Source organism: Homo sapiens, chromosome 14, assembly GCF_000001405.40.
Source record: "Homo sapiens chromosome 14, GRCh38.p14 Primary Assembly".
Taxonomy (NCBI): Eukaryota; Metazoa; Chordata; class Mammalia; order Primates; family Hominidae; genus Homo; species Homo sapiens.
In genome coordinates this window covers 96,894,128-96,918,842 of record NC_000014.9, presented here as the reverse complement: position 1 = coordinate 96,918,842, position 24,715 = coordinate 96,894,128, and the positions used below count along the sequence as shown (strand labels likewise).

Genomic DNA, 24,715 nt, shown 5'->3' with positions numbered 1-24,715 from the left:
CAAGAGCTTCAGTGAAGCGGTCCCCCATACCCAGTCACTCTCTAACATCCCCCTTTTACATTTCTGTACCACACTTAACATTTATGGAATTATCTTTACTTGTTCACCTGTCCATGGCCTGCCTCCCCCAACTAGAAAGGGAGAATTGGTGGTCTCATTCACCAGTGTGTCTCCACAGCTATGGCATCCAGATGAGGGCCCAGCACACAGCAAGCATTCAATAAATAACCGTCAAAGAAGCAAGCAAATACAGGAATAACAGGTCACTCCCTGTATTAGTCTGTTCTCAGGCTGCTAATAAAGACATACCTAAGACTGCGTAATTTATAAAGAATAGAGGTTTAATGGACTCACAGTTCCACATGGTTGGGGAGGCCTCACAATCATGGCAGAAGGTGAATGAGAAGCAAAGTCACGTCTTACATGGTGGCAGGCAAGAGAGCATGTGCAGGGGAACTCCGCTTTATAAAACCATAAGACCTTGTGAGACTTATTCACTATCCCAAGAATAGCAGGGTAAAGACCTGCCCCCATGATTCAGTTACCTCCCACCAGGTCCCTTCCACGACACATGGGAATTATGGGAGCTACAATTCAAGATTAGATTTGGGTGAGGACAGAGATAAACCATATCACTCCCTGAAGGGAAGGAGTAAGTGGAAAAGGAATTATTAAATGGGCACTTGCCATATGGGTGCAGTCGCATGATCCATTTAATCATCACAAGCCCTCTTGGGGTTCAGTATTTGACCCCTAATGCACAGATGAGGACATTGAGGCTTGAAAACATTAAATGATTTATTTGCCCAAGATCACACAGGTACAAAGTTGTAGAGACAAGATTCGCGCCCAGGCCTTAGTCACTTCCACTCTCTGGACTGTCTTCTACATCAAACATCAGGCACTCAGATCAAAGGAGCATTTTGAACAGGCAGCCAGATCACCATAAATCACCCAACTGGACTGTCTCATTGTAACCAGAAAGGAGCAACAGACACAAAAGCTGTTTTCGAAAAGGAAAAGAGGATCTCAGTGGCCGGGGGAGGCCATTCATTAAGGGGGCTTATTTGCCTGACAGCTGAATGGAAACTTGAACTGCAGCCTCTCAACCTGAACTTCGACTTGGCCTAATTCCATATCGAGTGACAACAGTTTGCCATCTGTCCTGGGTCTGATCCTCCGAGGACCTCAAAGGGCAGATCCAATCTCCCTTCACTTGGCCTTGACATGCATACCCTATCCGTTCTTACATAAGAACCAATTTATTCTCCGGCTCCTCTCACAGATGGCTGGACAGTTGCCTGTTGCCTTATCTACCACACCACCTGAGAGAGTTAGGGGTGGGGGTGGGTACTTTACAGTGAGGATGGAGCTGATACAAGCACTCATAGGCAGAGTATTTCAATTGGGGTGGGACAGGTGTAACCCACCCACCTCTGCTCTAAGTGTTGGCTTACAGGGCCACATGGAAAGGATGTGGACTTGGGAGTCAATTGTATTGTGTTTCAGATCCTGGCTTCCTCATCACTAGCTCTGTGACCTTGAACCAGTCGTTGTACTTTCTCTGCTCAGCGTCTTAGCTATAAAAATAACTCCTTCCCTGTGGAGTTCTTGTGAAGATTTAATTTAATGGGGGTAATCTATGTAAATCACTTTGGATCTGACACTGAGAACGAGCTTCTTAAACAGCAGGTATTATTATTATTAATAATAATACCTCAGCAAATGTCTCTCAAACCCAAGAAGTCTCCAGGAACATGGCTGAAATTATTGTTGTTGAACTAACCTCTTCCCAAAACTCACAGAGAAAATTAGCACAACATGGAGCTATGAGGGTTGTTGGAAATCATTTGATCTGTCCATTTTACAGATGGGGACAACAAGGCCCAGAGAAAGGGAGACAGGTAGGCCAAGGCCACCCAGCAAGTCAGTGGCAGAGCAAGGAGGTGAAGCCCAGCCCCTAAGCTTCCCCTCATAACCCCCCTCTCTGTTCATATGCATCCATTATTCTTGCTGCATAGCAAATATCCCCAAAACATAATGGCTTAAAACAGTAACAGTCATTCTATTATCGTATTAGTTTGTTAAGGCAGCCGTAACAAAAAAACACAAACTGGGTGGCTTAAACAACAGACATTTATCTTCTCATGGTTCTGGAGGCTAAAAGTCCACAGTCAAGGTGCCGGCAGGTTGGCTTTTCCCGAGGCCTCTTTCCTCGGCTGCAGGCGGCTGCCTTCTTGCTGTGTCCTTGGTGGTTTCTTCCCTGTTCATGCACACTCCTGGTGTCTCTTCCTCTTCTTGTAAGGAAATCAATCCTGTTGGATTAGGGCCCACACTTATGACCTCATTTGATCTTAATTACCTCCTTAAAGGCCCTGTTTCCAAATACACCCATATTCTAAGGCACTGGGGTTAGAACTTCAATATGTGAATTTGGACAGCGGGTTGGTTGTGGAGGGAGACACAATTCAGTCCACAGCATGACCTCTCACTGTTTCTGTGGGTCAGGAATTCCAGAAAGTTCAGCTGGGCAGTTTAGGCTCAGCATCTCTTTCATGCCATTGTTTTTTCAGATGGGGGAATGGAGATGGAACATTGGGGGCTGGAGCACCCGGAGACTGGCCCAGCATTTCTCTCTTCACATAGTCTCAAGGCTTCTCCAGGTGGTCTCTCCATGTGGTTTAGTGTGGGCTTCCTCATGGTATGGTGACCCTCAGGCAGTCAGTCTGCTTGTACAGCAGTACAGGGTGTGAGACCCAGGGGGTCCAGCGAGCAAGATGGCAGGTGTACAGAGCCATGCTGCAGCACCACCTCCGCCTCCTCTATTGGTTACAGTCACACCGTGCTTGGCTGAGTACTGCCCCCAAAATTCATGTCCACCCAGAACCTCAGAATGCCACCTTATTTGGAAACAGCACCATTATAGACGTACTTAGTTAAGGTGAGGTCTTACTGGAGAAGGGCTGTATTAGTCCATTTTTGCACTGCTATAAAGATGCTACCTGAGACTGGGTAATTTATAAACAGAAGAGGTTTAATTGACTCACAGTTCCACACAGCTGGGGAAGCCTCAGGAAACTTACAATCATGGCAGAAGGCAAAGGGGAAGCAAAAGGGGAAGCAAGGCACATCTTACATGGCAGCAGGAGAGTGCGAGCAATGGGGGAACTGCCAAACACTTTAAAACCATCAGCTCCCATGAGAACTCACTCACTATCACGAGAACAGCATGAGGGAAACCGTCCCCATGATCCAGTCACCTCCCACCAGGCCCCTTCCCTGACATGCAGGGATTACCATTCGAGATGAGATTTGGGTGAGGACACAGAGACAAACCATATCAAGGGTGGACCCTAAATCCAATATGGCTGGTGTCCTAATAAGGAGTGGGAGGTTCCGACACAAAGGCATCACAGAGGAGGCAGGAACAAAGGCTGCCTTCCTATGTTCTTGCATTGCTATAAAAAAAAAACCTGAGACTGGGTAATTTATAAAGAAAAGAGGTTTAACTGGCTCGTGGTTCTGCAGGCTGTACAGGAAGCATGGCAGCATCTGCTTCTGGGGAGGCCTCAGGGAGCTTTTGTTCCTGGCAGAAGGCAAAGCAGAAGCAGGAGTCCTCATGGCTGGAGCAGGACTGAGAGAGATGGGAGAGGTGCTGCACACTTTTTTTTTTTTTTTTTTTTTTTTTTGAGACGGAGTCTCGCTCTGTGGCCCAGGCTGCACACTTTTAAAACAACCAGATCTCATAAGACCTCACTCACTGTCACGAGAATGGCACCAAGTGGGAAATGCACTTCCATGATCCAGTCGCCTCCCACTGGTCCCTCTTCCAACACTGGGGATTTGGGCAGGGACACAGAGCCAAACCATATCAAAGGCCATGTGAAGAGGAAGACAGATTGAAGCGATGCAGCTACAAAGAACGCCAGGGATGGCTGCCAGCCACCAGGAACTAGGAAGAGGCTAGAAAGGACTCTCCCCTAGAGCCTTCAAAGGGAGTTTGGCCCAACCAACACCTTGATTTTGGATGTCTGCCTCCAGAACTGTGAGAGAATACATTTCTGTTGTTTTGTCACCCAGTTTGTGCTAATTTGTTACAGAGCCCTAGGAAACTAATGTACAAGCCCACCCACATTCAAGGGGAAGGGAATTTCCACCTCTTGATGGAAAGTGGCAGGGTTCCAGCAGAGCACATGGGACAGGAGTTACTGTACCACCCATCTTGGCAAAGCACAATCTGCCACAAACTCTGGAGTGTATACGAAGAGTAGGGCAGAAGTGTTGAGTGTATGTTTAGGGCTCCAAGCATAACAGAGGTTTATTTCTCACTCATGGAAACCACAGGCCTCCAGTTCCTTCCAAGACAATCTAAGCTTTCTGAGGTTGACCATCCCCAACCTAGAAAGCTCCTAAAGGATTTCTGATGTGGCTGGACCTAGGAAAGGAATAGAAGCTGGATCGTGTGGCCAGAGAAGCTGGAGGGATGGGTATGGCTCCTGGCTCACCCCAGCCATGGGGCAGGACTCCTAAACCAGCACGAAGCAAACCCACAACCACTGCCCTTGAAGCCTTAACAGGGACATTTACCAGGTAATTCTAGGAATCTGTCTGCACATTAAGGAAGACTCATCTCTCCAGGGTGGCTGGGGCTTGAAGGGAGGGGACCTGCTGCTTGTTCCCTGATTCTAGAGGTGCTCTGCCCACCAGGGACAGCTGTTCCAGGCTGCCTAGCCAAAGCCCACACTTGCTGTCTTAGGTTTTCAGCTTGCTATAACAAAATACCATAAACTTGGTGGCTTAAAAACAAAAGAAATTTATCTCTCACACTTCTGGAGGCTGGGAAGTCCAGGATAAGGGTGCCAGCAGATTCAGTGCCTGGTGAGGGCCTGCTTCCTGGTTCGTCGACAGCCATCTTTCTACTGTAACCTCACACGACAGAAGAGACAAACAAGCTCCCTTGGAAATCTTTTATAAGGGCATTAATCCCATTCATGAGGCCTCATGGCCTAGTCACCATCATGACCCAATCACCTCCCAAAGGCCCCACCTCCAGTTGTCATTACGTGGGGCATTAGGTTTCACATTAATTTGGGGGGGGCACAAACATTGAGACCATAGCAGGGCTGCCATAAACCAAAGCTCTGCCTTGAGCTGCCTTTCTCTTAAAGGAAATGTTTTCCTTGCTAAAACTACAAGACTAGAATTGGGGTAAACTCCAGGCACATTGTATTCGTTCAAGGATCCCTAGCAGCAAGCAAAAACAAACTCACAGATGATTAAATACTGAGCTCCAAACACAATCGAGCTTTATTTCTCACTCATGTGAAGCCCAGTGCAGGGTTCTGATTAGCAGGTGTCCCTTCTCCAAGGCGTGATTGAGAGACCCAGGCTCCTTCCATCTTGTGAGTCCCCTATCTTCAATATGTGGCTCCCAATGTCGCCATGGAAACTACATCAAACATGCAGAAAGGCAAAAAGCACAGAGGATGGGCTGGGGGCTGTGGATGGGGAAGAAGTGCCCATCACCTCCACCTACAATTTATGGTCTAGAACCCATTCACAGGTCTGCACCTAACCACAAAAAGAGACTGGGAAACAGTCTGGCGGCACACCCAGGAGAAAGGGAAAGGGGCTTGGTGAGGAGCTAGCCAGCGTCTGCCCATAGGAAAGAAGGTCAGAGGCTCAGCGGCTCATTACGTCCTCAAGTGCCTGGGCTCTCTCCCTTTCCCCCCATCTGCCCACAGAGACCACTCTGCCAGTGGTCCAGTCCACCCCTGGACTCACCCTGAACTCTTCAAGCTTTCTACCTTACAGCAAATCCATTAGCAAATCCCTCTGGCTCTGCCCTGGCATCTCTAGACCCTGGCCTCTTCTCCATCACCCTGGTCCACGTCACCATCATCTCTCACCTGGGTAATCACGGTTACCTCCTCACTGGGCTTAGAGCTACTACCTGCTCCTCCTCCAGCCCTTTCTCGTCACAGCAGCTTGAATAATCCTTTCAAAACGGAATTGGAGATCTGTTCTATGCCAAAACTGCCCATTAGCGACACATCTCACCCAAGCCAGCGTCCTCGAAGTGACCCAGGGGTCACAACTCATGTTCTCTTAGACCTCATCTCCTCTCCTCTCCATCCCCCTTCCCTGTTCACTCTGCCCCAGCCCCACCATGAAATGTAGACCGGCCTTTTCCAGCTCTTGAATCTGGGCCCATTTAGGAAGCATGTCTACCACAAAACTAAAAGCCACCATCCTCAGTGAGGTTGCTCCTGTTTTCATGATTCTCCCCATGGTTGCAAGATGGCTGCCATGACTCCAAGAATAACATTACACTGCAGCCCCCAATGTAAGAGGCAAGAAGGGGCGCTCCCCATATCCACCTCTCTCTCCTCATCAGAGAAGGAAATCCTTCCCAGAAGCTTTCCTATGACTTTCATCATCCAAACCCAGCACACATGACCACCTTTAGTTTCAAGGGAGCCTGGGAAAGGGCATGTTAGGGTCTTTGGGCCTCTAGAGTAGAAGGTAGGTGAGGTTGAGGTGAGTTTGGAAGGGATGCTATCTAGGCAACTAGTAAGGTTTGCCAACAGCCTTGCTTAAGCAGTCTCAGAAGTGGAGCACTGCAGAGCCTGCACAGTGGAGGAGTCCAGGCCAGCCTGTGAGAGGGACCAGGCAAGGCCAGAGTTGGCATGGTCTGCCCAAGTTTCCCTAATTCACTAGAGGAGAGGCAGCCTGTGCCGAAGTCTCTCATGGCCCAGTCTAGCATCCTCAATCCAGTTCCCATAAGTCCTACTCCATGAGAAGTAAGGGGGGAAGTTCTGGAAACAGCCCATGAGGCAAACGTCATAGGTCACAGCTGCTTCCCCTTCAACAGAAGTGCAACAGAAGTGCAAGGACAGAGATAGAACACTTGGCTGTGAATAACAATCACTCCTTTGATCAAGCCCTGCATTTTTTGCAATGCTTGTGGTCCTCTCTGAAGTCAGCAGCACATTGACTGAGGCAGGAAGGCTGCGGTGCCAATCACCCACCCACAATATCCACCCGGAGCGATTTTCTTCCTAGTTCATTTCCCCTCCGTTTGCCACTTGATAAAATATAGTACAATATTTTTTCCTGGAAAGGACAGCTGTTTTATCAGTATTACAAAGCACCTTCAATTTGAACTCAACTTGTAACCACAGCCAAAGACTATTTTGCTTTTAGTCACTATTATGTGGAATGTTATTCATTACTTTTTTTTTCCAGCAATATGTTTTCTATCAATGTGTATCTTTGATAACTCTTTTTTCTTAACATGAATGAGTTTCTCTCTACCACAAATATTATGTGAGTAGACAACAGGCATGCTAAACTCGAGTGTCTTTGACTTCTTGGGAAAGAAAAAGCAAAAGAGAATTGAATTAACTCTCTTTTCCCTGGGTCCATCCCTAAGACTTGCAGAAGCCCGACCTTCTCCACTCTTTCCCACCCTCACCTGCCTAATGAGAATGAAATTCCACAGGCTCAAGAGGGCACGGTAGATCTGTGTGGGCATCCCAAGCTTTGGGTGCTGGGGTCTGGGATGGAGAAGAGTCTGTAACTCTGGACAGCAGCACCAAGTATCACCCCTGCTCCTGCCACGTGACTGGTTACAAGCATGAGGAACACATGGGGTCAGGCTCTAGATGCAGGCTGTCATTTTTAGAGTGGGTAACCTTGGAAAAGTCACAGAGCCTCAGAGATCCTAGGTGAGCCCTAGTGCCTATCTCTGCAGAGTGAAATCACCCTGCAGGCTTGGGTGAGAGCTGCAGTCTCTCCTTGTCAGTGTGCTTGCCCAACTCTGAAGTACTCTCTACATGGGAGCTGTGGTTGTTGTTCAAGAGAAGCAGAGTCCCCCAACTTGATCACTGCTCTCAGGACCTTACAGTCTGGGAAGGAAGGCCAGAAATCCTTCTCATCCACAAGGCCCTGGTCTCATGGTGCCTCCTCCAGGAAGCCTTCCTTGTCCCTCCATACCTGCTCTGTGCCCAGGCAGCACCTGAGTCTCATGCTGCCTCCTCCAGGAAGCCTTCCTTGTCCCTCCATACCTGCTCTGTGCCTGAGCAGCACCTGGCAAGCTGCTCCCTGTTGCCCCTTTCACATTACACTTTGTGCTAGTCTGAGTGCCTCTGCCATATCTGAGCTTCCCCCAGTCATCTGTGGAAGCCTGGAGCCTAAAAGCAACTTTGTGCTCAGAAAATACTAGCTGGCTTCATGGAGACACCCGGGGCACAGACACAGGGAGCTGTTTCTAAACAACAATGCAAAGTTTAACTTGCCAGTCTGGTGCATGGCAACTGCAGAGCTGAAAGTGGGTCTCCTGAGTGGCATGAGCACTCTTTCAAAATGCAGCTCCTTCAGGAACTGCTTTAGGGGAAGGCGCAGCACACTGAGGGGCCAGGTCATGGCAGGGTGCTCTTTTGGCAAAGCTAAATCTTCCCATATCCACATCACACTGAGAACCTGTAATTAACCAGTGCCCAGAAGGCACATGGCAGTTTCCAAAGAGCTCTGGGGGATAGAAAAGAAAAACATATTTGAAACATCTAAGCCAGCAATGGATTACATCTAGAATGTGCAAGAAACTCCTGCAAATAGATAAGAAAAAGCAGGCCTAATGGGAAAATGGGCAAAAGAAAAGAACAGGCAACTTACAGAGGAAGAAAACAAAAGAACCAGCAAGTACCTGAAGAGACACTCAAAAGTATTAGCAATTAGAGAAATGCTATTTAAAACAAAGATCACTGTACACATATTAGACTCACAAAAATTAGAAAGATGAGTTGTGCCAAGTGCTGGTGAAGATATGACATGGCACGACTTAGCCAAACTAGACATCCTGTGCCACAAACAATTCCACTTCCAGGTTTACAGTCCACAGGAATTCCCACAGTGGCCTACATGGTGACTTAGAAGGTCATTCTGCAGGATCACTGTATTCCCTTCAAACCAAGGCTCATTCCACTGTGAGACACACCAGTATTTTATGTAACACTAAGAAAGGAAAAACAATGAAAAAATCCTCTCCCGTCAGAGACTTTTATACAATTGGAATTCAAAAATGCCTATTTTGAATCTTTTAACCTCATTGATATGGGTTTTTTTTCAAATCATTTTTCACCCTTAGGCATATATAGAAAGAAAAATAGAAGTAAAGCAAATTGAGTGAGTCTTTTAGCTCTCCCTCACATCCCAAGCCCAGCTCTCTGAATCACCTTCTGACCCAGAAGTTATCAGTGTCCATCTTTACCCACACAGCACTGCCTTCAAGAGTGTGATCATGAAGCATTTCTTCAGCATGCTCCACTATCACCTCCTGATATGCTTCCAGGGTACAGTCGCCCCTTGAGCCAGTTCCAACATTAATACTGATAATGTTTGTGCAGGGCAGGCAGTAGCAACTGTCACTACTGAAGACAGCAAGCACAAGAAGCCACCCAGTGTGAGATGTTAAAATAATCAACAATGTGCATCTTCGAATCTCTAAGACATGGTGTTTGTGGATTTGGTAGCCATCTGGGAATGACAGTGATATAGTTTTGATTTGTGTCCCCACCCAAATCTCATGTTGAATTGTAATGCAATGTTGAAAGTGGGGCCTTGTGGGAGATGACTGGATCATGAGGGCTGATATGGTTTGGCTGTGTCCCTACCCAAATCTCATCTTAAATTGTAGCTGCCATAATCTCCACATGTCATTGGAGGGATTTGGTAGGAAGTAATTGAATCATGGGGGCGAGTTTTCCCATGCTGTTCTCATGAGAGTGAATAAGTCTCACGAGAGCTGATGGTTTTATAAAGGGCAGTTCCCCAGCACAGGTTCTCTTGCCTGCCACCATGTGAAGAAGGACATCTTTACTTCCCCTTCCACCATAATTGTAAGTTTCCTGAGGCCTCCCCAGCCCTGTGGAACTGTGAGTCAATTGAACCTCTTTCCTTTACAAATTACACAGTCTCGGGTATGACCTTATAACAGTGTGAGAACGGACTAAAACAGGGGCGGTTTTCTCCCTTTTGTGCTGTTCTGGTGATAGAGTTCTCTTGAGATTTGGTTGTTTAAAAGTGTGTGGCACCTCCCCTTGCTCTTCCTCTTCCTCCCGCTCCAGCCATGTGAAGACATGCCTCCTTCCCCTTTACCTCCCACCATGATTGTAAATTTCTCGAGGCTTCCCCAGCCCCCATGCTTCCTGTACAGCCTGTAGAACCATGAACCAATTAAACCCCTTTTATTTATGAATTACCCAGTCTCAGGTATTTCTTTATAGCAGTCTGAGAACAGACTAACATAAATGGGGAAAATGAAGCAGAGACACGCCATGGAGCTCTGTGTAGCAGCTAGAAGCACTGGACAGAGGGCACACACACACAACTGTTCATGTAAATCAAAACGGTAATTTCCACAAAACTTACTGGAACAGTTGCTTATATGGAGGGAGGAGAAAAGGAGAAGAGAGTGGAGAGAAAGTGGAGTAACTACATAAGTAATTAACAAGAACGACAATGATAAAAACAAGAAAGGGGTCTTGCAAAAGTTGAGAGGTCACATGTTACACTCATTTAATACTCACAACTCCTACCATCTGTAGTGCAGAGATGGGGAAACCAAGGATCTGAGAGAGTGGAATGGGGAATCGAGTCCAGGAGAGAGAGACCTCCCATTTATGAGCACCTACTGTGTACCGGATTAGCCTCATGATAGGCTTAGCCTCACGACACTGCCAAGGCAGAGAGATTGCCCTCACTTTACAAGGGCAGACACTAAGGTTCAGAAAGGGGAACTCTCTTGCCTGGGGACCCACAGCTTATAAGAACCAGCTGAGATTTGAGCCCAGGTGTGAGGCTCCAAAACTTGTGGTCTCTCCATGATGTGCCTTTTTCTCCATGTACCTATCAAAGGTTCAGGCCAGAAAAGGGAGGCAGAAGAAATCCCAAGGAACTGGAACCCAGGGCCATACCTGCAAGAAGTAGAGAGGCTCTGCCATGCCTGCAAGAAGTAGAGAGGCTCTGTATATTGGGAGAACATGGGAGGCGGTGCACCAACCAGTGGGGAGGGGGAAATCCCATCTCATGCCATGAAGCTACATGGCAGTCAGGTGGCCTTACTGGCTGCAGGTAAATGTGTGGACGAGCAGGCATGGTTGAGCTCAGCACAGGGGCAGGCTTGCTGGACAGACAATCACAGGCATCTCTGCCACACCCCCATTCTGTCTGACCTATAGGCAAGGCACAGAGCTTCTGTCCCCGAGCCACTGTCCATCTGCCCTTCCTTCCAGCCACCCTCCTAACAAACTGATTATTTTGCTTATTTACTTGTTGTCTCTTTCTGCCCCCAAAGACTGTAAAATCCATGAGGGCAGGGATTTTTGTGTGCTTTCTCCTTTGCCACATCCCCAGTGCCTGCATGTAGTAGACCTCAGTAAAAGCTTTGTTGAATAAATGAAATCATGAAAGGCCTTATATCCCATGCCAAGGAGTGTAGCGTGCTTCCTGAGGCACTGGGGTGGCTACTGTAGGGTCTGGGTAGAGCTGAGACATTCTCAGACCTGCCTGACAGCAGCAGTGGGTGCAATGGTTAGGAGTGTAGACTTCATAGCCCGGCTGCCAGGTGTGGCCCCTGTTCCCCACACAAGCCTTGTAACCTTGTGCAAGTCACTCAATCTCAGCTTCCTCATCTGCAAAATGGGGATGAAAATAGTACCTCCTTCATAAGGTTTTGAGAGGATGAAATGAGTTCATACGTGTGGTGTTTAGGACAGTACCTGGCATGATGGTAACATAATAGTCATGTATCAGTTTTTGCTACATAACAAGCCCACCAAAATTAGTGACTTAAAACAGCAATCTTTTATTTAACTCATGACTCTGTAGTTTGGCAATTTGGGATCATCTTGATCAACTATGAGGTTCTTCTGCTGGTCTTGGCTGGGCTCACTCCTGCTCAAGTTGGCAATCAATGACCTCACTCGCATGTTGTATGGTTATCTGGCTGTAGCTGGGGTTACAGGGTACCTGGGCTATGTGTCTCTCTCAACGTCCAGCAGATCAATTCAAGCTTGTTCATGTGGTGGCAGCTGCAGTGTTTCCAAGTGCAAAAAGATAAAGCAAACCCCAGTGTACAAGCACTATTCAAGCTTCTGCTTGTATCATTTTGCAAATATGTCCCATTGGCCAAAACACATCACATGGCCAACCCAGCTTCAAGAAGTAGAGAAACAGGCTCCACCCCTTAATAGGAGGGGAAGAATGTGTGGCCATTTTTGCAATCTATGACTGCCCTTGCTATTTCAGAAATGGCAAAGGCATCTAAAGAGAACTCAGGAGGCCTCTGCTAATGACCAGATTTGATGAAAGACTGGAAGCCCTACTGGGTGTGAGAAATGGGAAACCAGCCTGTCCCATTCCATATCCTTACTTCCCAGCCCTCTGTGATAAGAACTAGTTATTTTGAGTGGCAAGTGGGCTATGCCAGAAGTAGGTTTCTGCTCTGTCTCAAATGGCCCTCGAACTTTTGGGGATGGAGGACAGAGTGCAGGCTTTGAGCAGATCTTTCAGAGAGTGGTCAGGGCTGTCCGCCTGTAGCACCCTCTGAAGGTGGCATCCCCAAGCCTCAGCCTCCGCAATCCAGTCTGTAAAAGCCTGATCTCACTTAGCTCCTTCTCAAACAATAATTTGAAATCAACGAATCCTGTGCTGACATACTCCTCCCCTATGATTACTGAGCTCTAGACATGAGGAAACAGGCATTTCTCAACCAAGCCCTCCATCAGTGATTACCATTATTGCATAATTGGGGACCTCAGAAGCAACAGAGTGCCGTGAGCTGCCAGGCCCAAGCTCCTACTCAAATGACACTCTGAGTTCAGCTGCTAGAAGACAGGAAAATGTGGCTAATTGAGACTAAAGACTGCTCTGAGTAGCTTTCTAATTTTCCACAGTTAGTTCCTTTTTATTCTGCAGTGGTGTCCTTTTGGTAATTGACTTTCAAATAATACTTGTTACATATCATACTTAAACAGGAGTATTTCTGGCAGGGTTGAGCTATACAATGGATCTAGAAGTGGATTTCATTAAGGGAACCAGCTCTACAGATCTGAGGCACTCCCTCAGTGCCAGCCACACACTAATGTTCAAGAAACATGGCCCATGAGATATGTCCACACAGTTATCAGTGTACAGAAATCGCAGCATTATTTGTGTGTGCATGCAGCAACCACACAGACGATCACAGAATTCTCACATCTTTTCTCTCATTTTTCCTGACCCTGTGAGTTTAAAAGGACAAGAAACAAATGAGGACACTAGATTCATCAAAATTGGATCATGAAGCATGTTACTGCACATCTACTATATGCCAAGCATTGGAAATACAGACATGAATACAGCAACACCTGCCTTCAAGATGTTCACAACATGGGGGCATGGATGGGGAAAACCAAAAAGCAAAAAATTATAATAATGCAGTGGGAAAGTCAACATTATAGAGATTTATACACATGCAAGATGGAGCACAGAAGACAGTAACTCTCTGGGGATTGAGGAAGTGAAAGGAAATGAAAGTCAAGTTGAGTCCTGAAGGATGCCTAGAAGTCAACCTGTTGAAGAGGGAGGCTAAGACATTCCAGTTAGAGCAGTAAACAAATGCTGCCTACTGCAGGAAAGGAAGAGGTTTTCCAGGACCCATGTGCCAAGGGTATATAGCAGAGTGTGGACTAACCTCAAGTCCCCAGCCTTGACTCGGTATCCATAGTTTTCATGCTTGTGTGCTGTCCAATTGTTTGGCAAATACGTTCACTTCTGTGCTTCCGTGGAAGCTTTCATGATATCCTCTGGGGAAATTGGCTGTCATTGCTCCAACCTCATTTGGATTCTTATTTTAGAATTGCCACTGGAGTCCATTTGTAAGCCATATAATGCTTTTGTTTTTACAGGAATACATTGTTTTTATCCCAGGTGCTATATTCCTTAGCACGACTATCCATTTTGTTGCTAAATTTGGCTCTAAAGAATTTGGAAGCATTTGCAACATTAAATGTACCCTCAAAGTTGATGATGGCCACTGCACTGAGCGTGTTCAAAGAAATGTGCTCTTGTAGGAAGAGGGTACATCTCAGTCTGCCCCCTTCCTCACCTCTGCCCAGGGGAAGGGAACCTCCATCTTCAGCTACTCTGAGCAGGGTGCCTGGTGCTGGAAGACCAAGGACTATGTCTGTGGGTGGCACTTGCCCTCCATTCATTGAGATTATTAAGCTGATTCTGTCACCACCTCTGCCTTGAGGACTCAGCCAACTTATTCACTCTCATCTCAACATGCTCATTTTCACTTCAGATTCTTGTAGCACAAGGCCTGCCAGAGGAGCCTAAAACATCCCACGGTTTGAATTGAGAGTGAGGGAGCAATAGGAGACTCTGTTTACTTTGACAGACCACATACTGATTAAGATGCAAGCAATGTGGAATGTTTGTTTTTAAAAGTCTGATCATTCATTAAAAGCCACACCTTGTATACGGTCAGTGCCAGGGAAAGGAACAAAGCACTTTCCATTAAAAACGTTTGCAAAATCCTTTTTAAGAAAGGAGCAAGATTCTGAACCTAGATAGACAATGGGGACCAAGAGCCCATTTCTAAACCAGCATACTAGTCACAAGCTTCTCCTCCTTCAGTGCATTGAGCACCTGCCTTCATGTACAGAGGAGCCTCCCCCACCCGCATGCCACCTCTCTAATACTGGTATGTAAGCCCCCAGTCCAGAACCCTCACCTCAAGGAGGAAACGATAGTTCTACAATGTCCACTTCGGCTCTCAAAATTACATGCTGTGAACTATTGAAAACAAAACCCCAGAACCACACAGGGCATCACAGAGAAAGACTGGCATTTCCAAGCTGGGGACTGCAGATTGAGGCGCCTTTGTGAGGTCTACAGTTCCTGCTCCTGAGGGCAACCAGGGTGGCTGGCTGCCCTGCTTTCCACGGAAGCCGGCAAGCAGTGTGACACTGTCACTCACCAAGAAAAGTCACTTCCTAAAATACCACACGCTGCAGGTAAACAGAAGAAAGGTCAGAATGATGTAGGTGTGTGTGCTATAAACCATCTCGTACATAAAAATTGCCTAATTACTGGGGAGATATGAAAAAGCATACATTACTCCTCAGAGCGGCTAACCCTCGGGGCTGGATAGGAAGCGAGGCACCTCTCAGAGCAGCTCAAATACATCAGACCTCAGGCCTCCTCTAGTTGCAGAGAAAATACCAAAATTCTTTATGCCCCCACCCCTATCACATGACTACATATGAAGCAATCTGTGAAAACAGCATGAAAACATCATATAAACTTGAGTCTTTGTGTTCATTTCATACTTAAATAATGTGACTAATCATTGTTTTTTACTTTGTCCTTGAATTTTCATTATGAAGATAGAAAAGATATAAATTTCATCCATTAGGTTTGGAAGCATACATAGTATGCTATTTGAATGAATTACATTTTGTTGACTTCCGTCTGTTCAGTCAGATTTTGAAATAAGGTGAGTGAAAATCACTTCCTCCATTGTCTCTTGTTCTTTTGCTTGGTATCTAATCTATGCCACCCCAACTCTGCAAATATGGGTGCTTTATCATTCAAAGATCAAGCCCATTTTAAAGTGATACAGTTCTTTTAAAATCATTTTGTAATTCATTTGTACCCCCCCAAAAAAAAAATCATTTGTTGAGTGTCCACTATGTTCTAGCCATTGAGCATCAAAGAGTAAGTCAGCAGACAATTATTGTTCCAGTATTTCCATGAGTTTGTCGGGGCACTATAACATATATCATTATAAAAACAGTTGTAAAAGAGGGAGCAGATAGGAGAGACTCCTCACCCAGAGTGACAGGATTGGGTAAGGCTTCCCAGAGGAAGTGATACCAGACTCTTAAGGAATTAGTAGGAATTAGTTAAATGGAAAAAAGGAGAAAGGGATTTGGGGGCAGAGATTGTGCCACCTGCAAGGCTTGATAGAGAGAGCAGCTCATTTGAAAACCACAAGTCGTGTCTTTAAGATGCATCACATCGATATGAACTGTGAGTGGCAAGTCCCTTATTTCTAGTTGGTTTTCTGTGCAATAAATAGAGGACCTTCTTGAATTTTCCTCCTTTTTCCCCTTAAGGTATGTGTGTGAATCAATGTCGCTAAGTTTATTGTATCTTTGTTTTGGAAGACAGGCAATATTAGAAAGAACATATATGCCAGGGTATCAGAGGCTTCTAGAGAGATGAATGGGAGTTAAAGGACTTCTGGGAGCAGAGAAGCTCCTGGAAAAACCTGGCAAAAGAAGGATCAAAGGCCATAGGAAGTGACTCTGACTATCACAGAAAAAAATGGTAGATGCAAAATCCATCAGAGGGCTTGAATTCCACCGTCCCGTCTCCCTGAATGCGTGTTTGTGTGGCTGCAAACACACACAACTAGGGAACACTGGGGGAGGCTCTTGGGTCATTTACGCAGGCAGAGGGCTGACTAGACCAGTGACAGTTGTTGCATGGCCTGGGAAGAAAGCCCAGGAATAAGGGCCACTTCATCAAAAAGGAGTAATTGCAGACTGGAGGCTGAGTTGTCTACATCACAGGCATTGCCAGGATGCTGGTCACAGAAACAAGGGCATCCCCACGATTCCACCTGCCCTCTCAGGAGAGGAAGTGTCTGTAACTATGGGGGAGGGGAGTGACTTTGCCCTCTTGAGGTCTTCCAGAAGTGCTGCTTATTTGTGGTGCCCACTCACATAATGTGTAATGCAACTATCATCTAGCACTTTCCATTCGCTGGAATGTCTTTTTTTTTTTTTTTTTTTTTTTGAGACAGAGTCTCGCTCTGTCGCCCAGGCTGGAGTGCAGTGGCACAATCTCGGCTCACTGCAACCTCTGCCTCCCGGATTCAAGCAATTCTCCTGCCTCAGCCTCCTGAGTAGCTGGGACTATAGGCGCATGCTGCCATGCCCAGCTAATTTTTTGTATTTTAGTAGAGACTGGGTTTCACCGTGTTGCCCAGGCCGGTCTCCAACTCCTGAGCTCAGGCAATCCGCCTGTCTCGGCCTCCCAAAGTGCTCGGATTACAGGCGTGAGCCACCGTGCCTGGCCCTGGAATTTCTAAATCTGTAGTAACTGCATTGTTTTCTTGATTTCTAGATTTCCTGTATTTCCATTTCCCCAAAGAAAAGGGAAATATAACAACTGGAACTCTTCCAAACTCTTCCAAAAAGTCAATTACCAAAGGGAAATTCCTTATCAAATTCATTGATTATGCCAACGCACTAGTTCCACACTCAACCAGTCTCTCTTAAAAATGAGTGAGATAGGCTAGCTGCTTTGTGATCACAGAAGAAATGGAAGGCCTAGGCCCCATGCAAATGAACTCTCGGTCCCAGGTGGGAAAACGAGATTTCACAAAGGAAATAACAGCACACAACAGAAAGCATCCAAAAGCCTGAACTGTATGAACTGAACTGGAGATCTAGTCACCAGATCTTTATTGAGCATTTATTTAATCACTGGTTCATCCATCTCTCTCTCTCCCAATGTTTACCAAGTGCCTTCTAGGTGCCAAAAAATCATGGGGAATACAAAGGGGAAACAGAAGCAAAGTGTTTCTTGCTTAGGGAGAGTAAGAAGTGGAGACATGACTGCGATGTTAGATTGGCATTTCAGAGGGCTGCATGTATGGTGCTATGGGGATTTAGAGGAAGGAGAGCACCACCCACCCTCACTTTAAACAGGGTAGATGTTATGTGGGTTAAGTATTCCTTCCAGACCTTGAAAGATAGGGAGGACCTGCAGAGACCCCTGATTCTCAGGACAAATCCTGGAATCTTACCAGTCCCCGATCTAGGCATACACGGTCCTATGGTGGCTTCACACTGGAGACGTCCGTGACATGCCTGGCAATGACTCGAACATCTACGGGAGCTGCATGTGTAGTGAGAAGAGCAGTCTTGGACTCGCTCAGAAGGACCTGGTTGGATTCCAGACCTACTGCTGGCTTGCCAGGAGACCAAGATGCAGTGATGTATCACCCCGATGCCCCTGCAGGACTGAAGTGTCTTCCTCCAGCTGTTGGGAACATGGGCACTGACTGATGAGAGTTGCTCAAGAACTGCCCTTGGTGGAAGGGAGCTGCTTTAACTTGGGGCAACCCATATCTAGTAACAGTCCATATGGGGAAAGGGGGCACAAAGGTTCTACCCTGTGCCTCAATTTGGGACTTTGCTGAAGGACCATCCCAGTTCAAGCTTTCTGGGATTGGCCGAGGCCTTTCTTGTGACTACCCTATGATTTAATTTCTCCCTCTGCACAGCCCAGCTTCCCTCACCCCCCCATAGGCAGGGGTGCGCTGGTACTGATGGCACCAGCTGGTGAGAGCCGATTCCGTGCACCTCTTCCCAGTGCCACATTCAGTGACATCAAGTTGGTAGCTTAGAAATAGGCCATGGTGGGAGAATTTACACTAAAACTGTCGAACTCCACAAATCAAGATCCCCCAACCCCCATGCCAGAGGATTGTTAACTCATTCAGCAGCACACGGCTGTCTACAGCTGTGAATCTCAAGGCACTCCTCAGCAAACTTCAACACGAGAGTCCTTTCCATTTCAGGGTCTATTTCCTGGGGACCCAATTTAAGACACCAGATGACCTTAGGTGAGATGTATCTGCAAATCAATGTCGTCACAACAACTGTGACTTTGGATATTTCACTTAATCTCAATGAGCCTCAGTTTTCTCATCTCAAAGTGAGAGATGGGGCCTGGATCTATGTGTTTGGGGGCTGTGCTAAGTGGATGCTGAGTGCTCAGGGCATCTCTAAGTTCGTGGAAAGGATAACGAGTATCCATGTTGCCTGAGAAGTAAGCATTAGAGGCCACATCTATCAAACAGGATAAACCTCTCAGGTGGCTGTGAGGAGTCAATGAGACCCGGGAACAAAAAAGCTCCTACTTCAGTGCCTAGCCCAGTAAACCCTCTCTACAAATGAATACAAAATACTGTGATACATCAAATGCTCCCAGACTGTGGTCCCAAGAGGGGAGGATTCATTACTCACCGAGAACCTAGTGGCTCAAAAATGTGTCAAATGATTCGATGAAACAGTCCAGGTCTGTCTCTTTGCATAGCCGAACACAGTGCGGAGAGAAATGATGGACCAACCAATTCAAACGTACGATTTTCACTCCCATTTCTTCTCTGTTGCCCCCATAAACACAAGGACAAGCTTTTAATGGCCAAAGAGTTGAATGAAACCACCTCTTTGGAAGCATTCTGTTTTGCCTCCCATGGTTAGGCTACTGGCTCGTGCACAGAAAAGGCTCTGCCTTGGGTTTTGGCATTACTCTCTTGCTTCATGGAGCAGATTAGTCTTACCCCTATCTACCTCCATCCAGCTACAGTTGAGGGCTAATTGTTACCTTGGAGTGTGTTCGCTGCTGCGGTTCTTTCCTTGTGGAGGGTAATGAAGAGGATTTCTAGTAACCCAAGACGCACAATCATGCCTTTCTTGGAAGCAGATGAAAGGCATTTGTCTTTAGCATTCTGTTGTGCACCTTACTGATTCCCAAATTACGTGTTCGGGAATGCAATCTGAGACATTGCAACCGTGTAGCTGTTTGGCGTGCACTTTCCTGAGCTCTGTCTCCTATCATTTGATAGTTAGAAGCAGTTGCATTTTAGGTGGGGCTTGGCAAGCAGAAATATAAGACGCCCAGTTAAATCTGAATTTCGGATGAATAATGAACACTGGTTTTAGTATAAGGATGTCCTAGGCAATATTGGGGACATATTTACACTAAAAAATTCTTCGTTGTTTATCTGAAATTCAGATTTAGCCAGGCATCTGCTATGGTTTGAATGTTTGCGTCCCCTCCAAAATTCATGTTGAAACTTAATCCCCATTGTGGCGTTATCAAGAGGAGGGGCCTTTTGGGAAGTGATTGAGACAAGAGGGCACAGCTCTTGTGAATGGAATTACATGCCCTTATAAAGAGGCTTTCGAGAGCTGCCTGGCCCTTTTGCCCTTCTGCCACGTGAGGACAACATATTTGCCGCGTGCCATGTGAGCACACCAGGGAGGAGGATGTCTCAGAAGCAGAGGATGAGTCCTCACCAGACACCAAATCTGCTGGCACCTTGGTCTTGAACTTCCCAGTCTCCATCATTGTGAGAAATACATTTCTATTATTTATAAACTACCCAGTGTAAGGTATTTTGCAGCAGAAATCAACTAAGACAATGTTCTGTATTTTATTTGGCAACCCTAACTTTAGCAAAATTCAAGAAATCAAAGAGTAAGAGAAATTCGTGAGGTTCCACTTGAAGCAGCTCTGGCCATGTTCCTTATTTTGTGTTCGGAGGGATGGGCATCACTGTCAATCATGCACCCTTGCCAACTCTAATCCTTCCGGCTGGTGGGGAGGGGCATATACAAGAGATGAACGATGGCAACATTTTACTGACTTGAAATTACAACTTCCTACCTTTGAAACATCATTAATTTTAGAGTTATTCCTGTATCCTGCAGTAAGAAAAAAAGTGAAGAAAAAAGTCCCCCTAAGCTTCACATACATAGAACACAACTTCTGCCATCTGGAATGTCTCCTAACTGACCTCAATTACTGCCCCATCAGTAGTTCCTGCCACTTTATCCACCATATCTATGTTCTGAAAATGGCAGGGATCTATCAGTCAAGGTAAGAACCTCTGCCCTTTTGCACATTGGTTTATTTCTGAATTTGGTGCCTAATTTTGCAAACAAGGATGGAGAATTATGTTATGAGTAAGAGCGGAGAAAGGGAAAGAGAGAGAATCTGAAACTGTGTAGACACAGGACTTATCCCCTCTGCTATAGACAGAAAATGCTTGATGGATGCCCGCCTATGTTCCTATACCAAATGCCAGACGCCAGAAGAGAGGCATGGAGTGCACCCCAAAGTTCCTATATCTCAGTTGACTGTGGCAGCAGTGATAGCATAGCTCACCCTTCTACCACCAAGGCTTATTATACCCAAGAGAGCTACAAAATGAGAAAGTCCATGGGTAATTATAAAACAAGAAGATATCTTTCCATGAGCCACAAGGGAATTCAAATCTTATTACTTAACATGCATGCCATTTAGGCCATGATCTGACACCAATAACTTATTACTTTAACGTCTTATTGCATAGGTGTGGAAGCCACTCACGTTGGTCACCACATATACCTCCTCTGGGAACAGAGCAGCCTAGGTCATGGGACATGGAAAAGAGACAAATCCTTGTGATTTTTTTCCCCGAAGATGTTATTTTTTCTTTTAGGGCAGTTTTAGGTTCACAGCAAAATTAAGAGAGAGGTGCCTGCCCCTTGCCTCCTGCCCCCACATGTGCGTAGCCTCCCTGTCCCCCGCCATTATCCACTTCCCCTATCAGAGTGGTGCATTTGTTACAACTGACAAACTTCACTGACACATCATTATCACTCGAGGTCCACAGTGTACGTTAGGGTTCACTGTCAGCACTGTACATTTTGATGGGTTTGGACAAGTGTATAATGATATGTATTCTTCATGATAGTATCAGCCTTGTGATTTTTAAGCCACAGATTTTGGAATTGTTTGTTATTGCAGTAGGACTTAGCTCACACTAATACAATCAGGGTAGAAAATATTTTGGAGTTACAAGGGCCACGCTGCAATGGCTGTACATGGTATCAAGTCAGATATTATGGCCACAGGTATAGCTGTGAAGAGGGTGGCTCTGGAGCCATGCGAGTGTGGGCTCAGATACTACTGTACAACTTACTAGCTATGACTTCAGGCAAGTCACTTGACCTCTTTAAGCATCAGATTCCTAGAAAATCCTAGCACTCCTGTCACAGGGTTGCTAATGGAGATTAAATGACACAATGTGCATAAAATAGCACAGTGCCTGGAACATAGCAAGCTCCCCATAAAAGACAGTTAATATTAGTGCTTCATAATTTGACTATTAAAAGATGTAGGTTCTAATATAAGAGTCCCCACAGTAATACATTCAGCAATCTCTGCTTCAAGTTTCCAAAGGTGAGTTCACAGCATCTTAGGTCTTCTGGTTCCACTTGAACTTAAATACCTATCAGTGACACCTCTGTACTGTGACATCTCCCATTAACTTGCACCTCACTGGGCCTAGTTCTACCTTCTCCAGTGACTCTGAAGAGTCGTGCTCTTCTCCCCCATGACAAACTTTTGAATATCTGTAGACACTGGCCTTCTCCACCACATTCCCCATGACCACCTCTGTGTGCCTCTCTAGATGTCCCAGTTTTCCCATCTCCTTGTGTAACGGGTTGCTTAACCATTCTCCATGCTGCCTGCCCTCATATGGAGCCACCTCAATTCTTCCAGGTCCATACAAATGAGGGCACCAAGATGAGGTCCACTGGGTGCAGAGAGAGCGCATGGGCTAAGCAGCTTCCACTCAGCCTAGGAAGCGGCGATCAACACAAGCCTGCTGCTCTTTCCCACGCGATCTGCTGCTAGGCCACGTCTCCTTCAGCCTATTCTTGGGTAATTGCTATTCTTTTTTCTTAATATAAATGTTTGGCAGATTGATTTCATTTTCTAGTTTTCCTCATTTCCCAACCATTCATTCATTTATTCAACAAATATTTCTCCTGCACAACCACATGTAGGAGCCAGACACTGTGCTTGGTACAGAGGCTAAAAAGATCAAGAGACAAGAGGTTCACAGGCTGCTGAGGGAGACCGATTTGGAAACAGAAACATCCTCCAGAATCTTCTGACTCTTGATATCATGCAAAGTACCAACCATTTCATCTGCAAGCATGATGAGCCTGACTTCAATGTTGATATGGTTTGGCTGTGTCTCCACCCAAATCTCATCTGGAATTGTAGCTCCCATAATTCCTACATGTTGTAGGAGGGACCCAGTGGGAGATAATTGAATCATGGGGGCAGTTTCTCCCGTACTGCTCTTGTGGTAGTGAATAAGTCCCATGAGATCTGATGGTTTTACAAGGGAAAATCCCTTTCACTTTCTCATTCTCTGTTGTCCGAGCCATGTAAGATGTGTCTTTTGCCTTGTTCCGTGATTGTGAGGCCTCCCCAGCCACATGGAACTGCGAGTCCATTAAACCTTATTACCCAGTCCAGTCTTGGGTATGTCTTTATCAGCAGCGTGAGAACAGACTAATGCAGGTGTCTTCACATAGAAATGTGATGAAAGTGTGGAAATAAGGACTGAGCGCCCACAGCAGAGTGGTGACTCCTCTGGATGACTGCGTCCTAGCTACAACTCCGCCTGAGGCTACCATGCCAAGATTCTGCACTTTTTCCAGGCCCTTTGGTCTTGTTAAAAATAAACTTTCACTCCTTTTATTCCTCCTAAGTACTAGCAAAGTAAATAAACTTTCACTCTTTTTATTCTCTCCTAAGGGAGAGAAGGAAGGAGGAAGAAAGACAGAAAACTTAAAAAAAACAAAGAAGAAGAAGGAAACATTTAGGTTAGCATCATATATTTAAATTCGTAAACGCAGATTATAGGGCATTGATGCTTGAAAACAAGTAGAATATTTTCCCATTTCAGGTCTCTGACATTCTTTACATTTTCCGTGATGACTCAGAAATCCCTACCAGTGTTTTGGCCATCACACACCAGCACACTCCAGCTATCCCTAGTGCGCAACAGGCCAATGCTTGGACACTTGGGTTCTTCTGAACTGCGTTAACTATCCTCCTGACATGCTCAAAGCTCAAGAGAGCTGTGAGCATCCCTTAAGGAAGTATTTTCCTTTGAAGAAAACGGAAACAAATTAGCAGGCAAATAGTTCTGCCGGTCTTTTCATCTAGCAACGTTAACTCAGTGCCTGGCAGAGTGTGAAAACCCAATAAATATGTTAGGTAAGTGCATTGTGATCGATAAGTAAACACATTAAATAAATATATTTTTGAGAAGAGGAGAGGATGGAAGAGGAATAACTGACCTAACAGAGCACAAGCAGCCCTTGGAGGGCTCTCCTGAGTGACATGGCCCTCCAGGTTCCTCTGGGAGCTGGGGACAGAGCACAGGGTTGAAAATAAGGGGGCTCACTTGGACCCTAGCCTTCCTTCTCCACTCAGCAAGGCCTAACCCTCCAAAATCTTATTAAAACATCTCTAAAAATGCTGAAGGATAAAACGAAAACAGCTCAAAAAAAATAGAATGAAAAAACAAAGAGAAAAAAAACAGGAGAGAAGTGCAACAAATAATTGCTGAGAGTTCTGGGAACACAGAACAGAGAAGCTGGAGGGGAGAAAATCATCAAAGAAGTAATACAAGAATACTTCCCAGAACTGAAAAGCACAGTGTGCTGGTCTGAAAGGGCCACTGAGTCAAAACCCATCACAGGAAAGTCTGAAACAGCCTCCTCTGTGGTCACCCTGCTACAACTTGTATTCCTCTCCAGTCTGTCCTCCCGGAGCCGTGTCAAGCAGAGCCTCTCACCCCTGCGCGTGTCACTTTCCAAGGGCTTTTCATTTCAAATAGGATAAAATCCAAACTCCTTTCGGTAGCCCCGCGTGATATGGCTTCTGCTGGACTCTCAGACTTCCTGCCTGGCACTCCTTCCTCACCCACTCCAGGCACACGGTGCTCTCTGTTCCTCCCACACGCCAACCACAGGTCCTTTCCACCCGCTTCTGCCTCCATCCTCTGTCTTCC

General features: G+C 46.0%; 1 annotated feature.

Moving 5' to 3' along the window:
• Nucleotides 23,159-23,208: an enhancer, noted in NCBI's record as "active region_8993". NCBI's record gives its function as "activates an Ori minimal core promoter by ATAC-STARR-seq in GM12878 lymphoblastoid cells {active_cell/tissue: GM12878}" and the evidence as "EXISTENCE:reporter gene assay evidence [ECO:0000049][PMID:35858748]".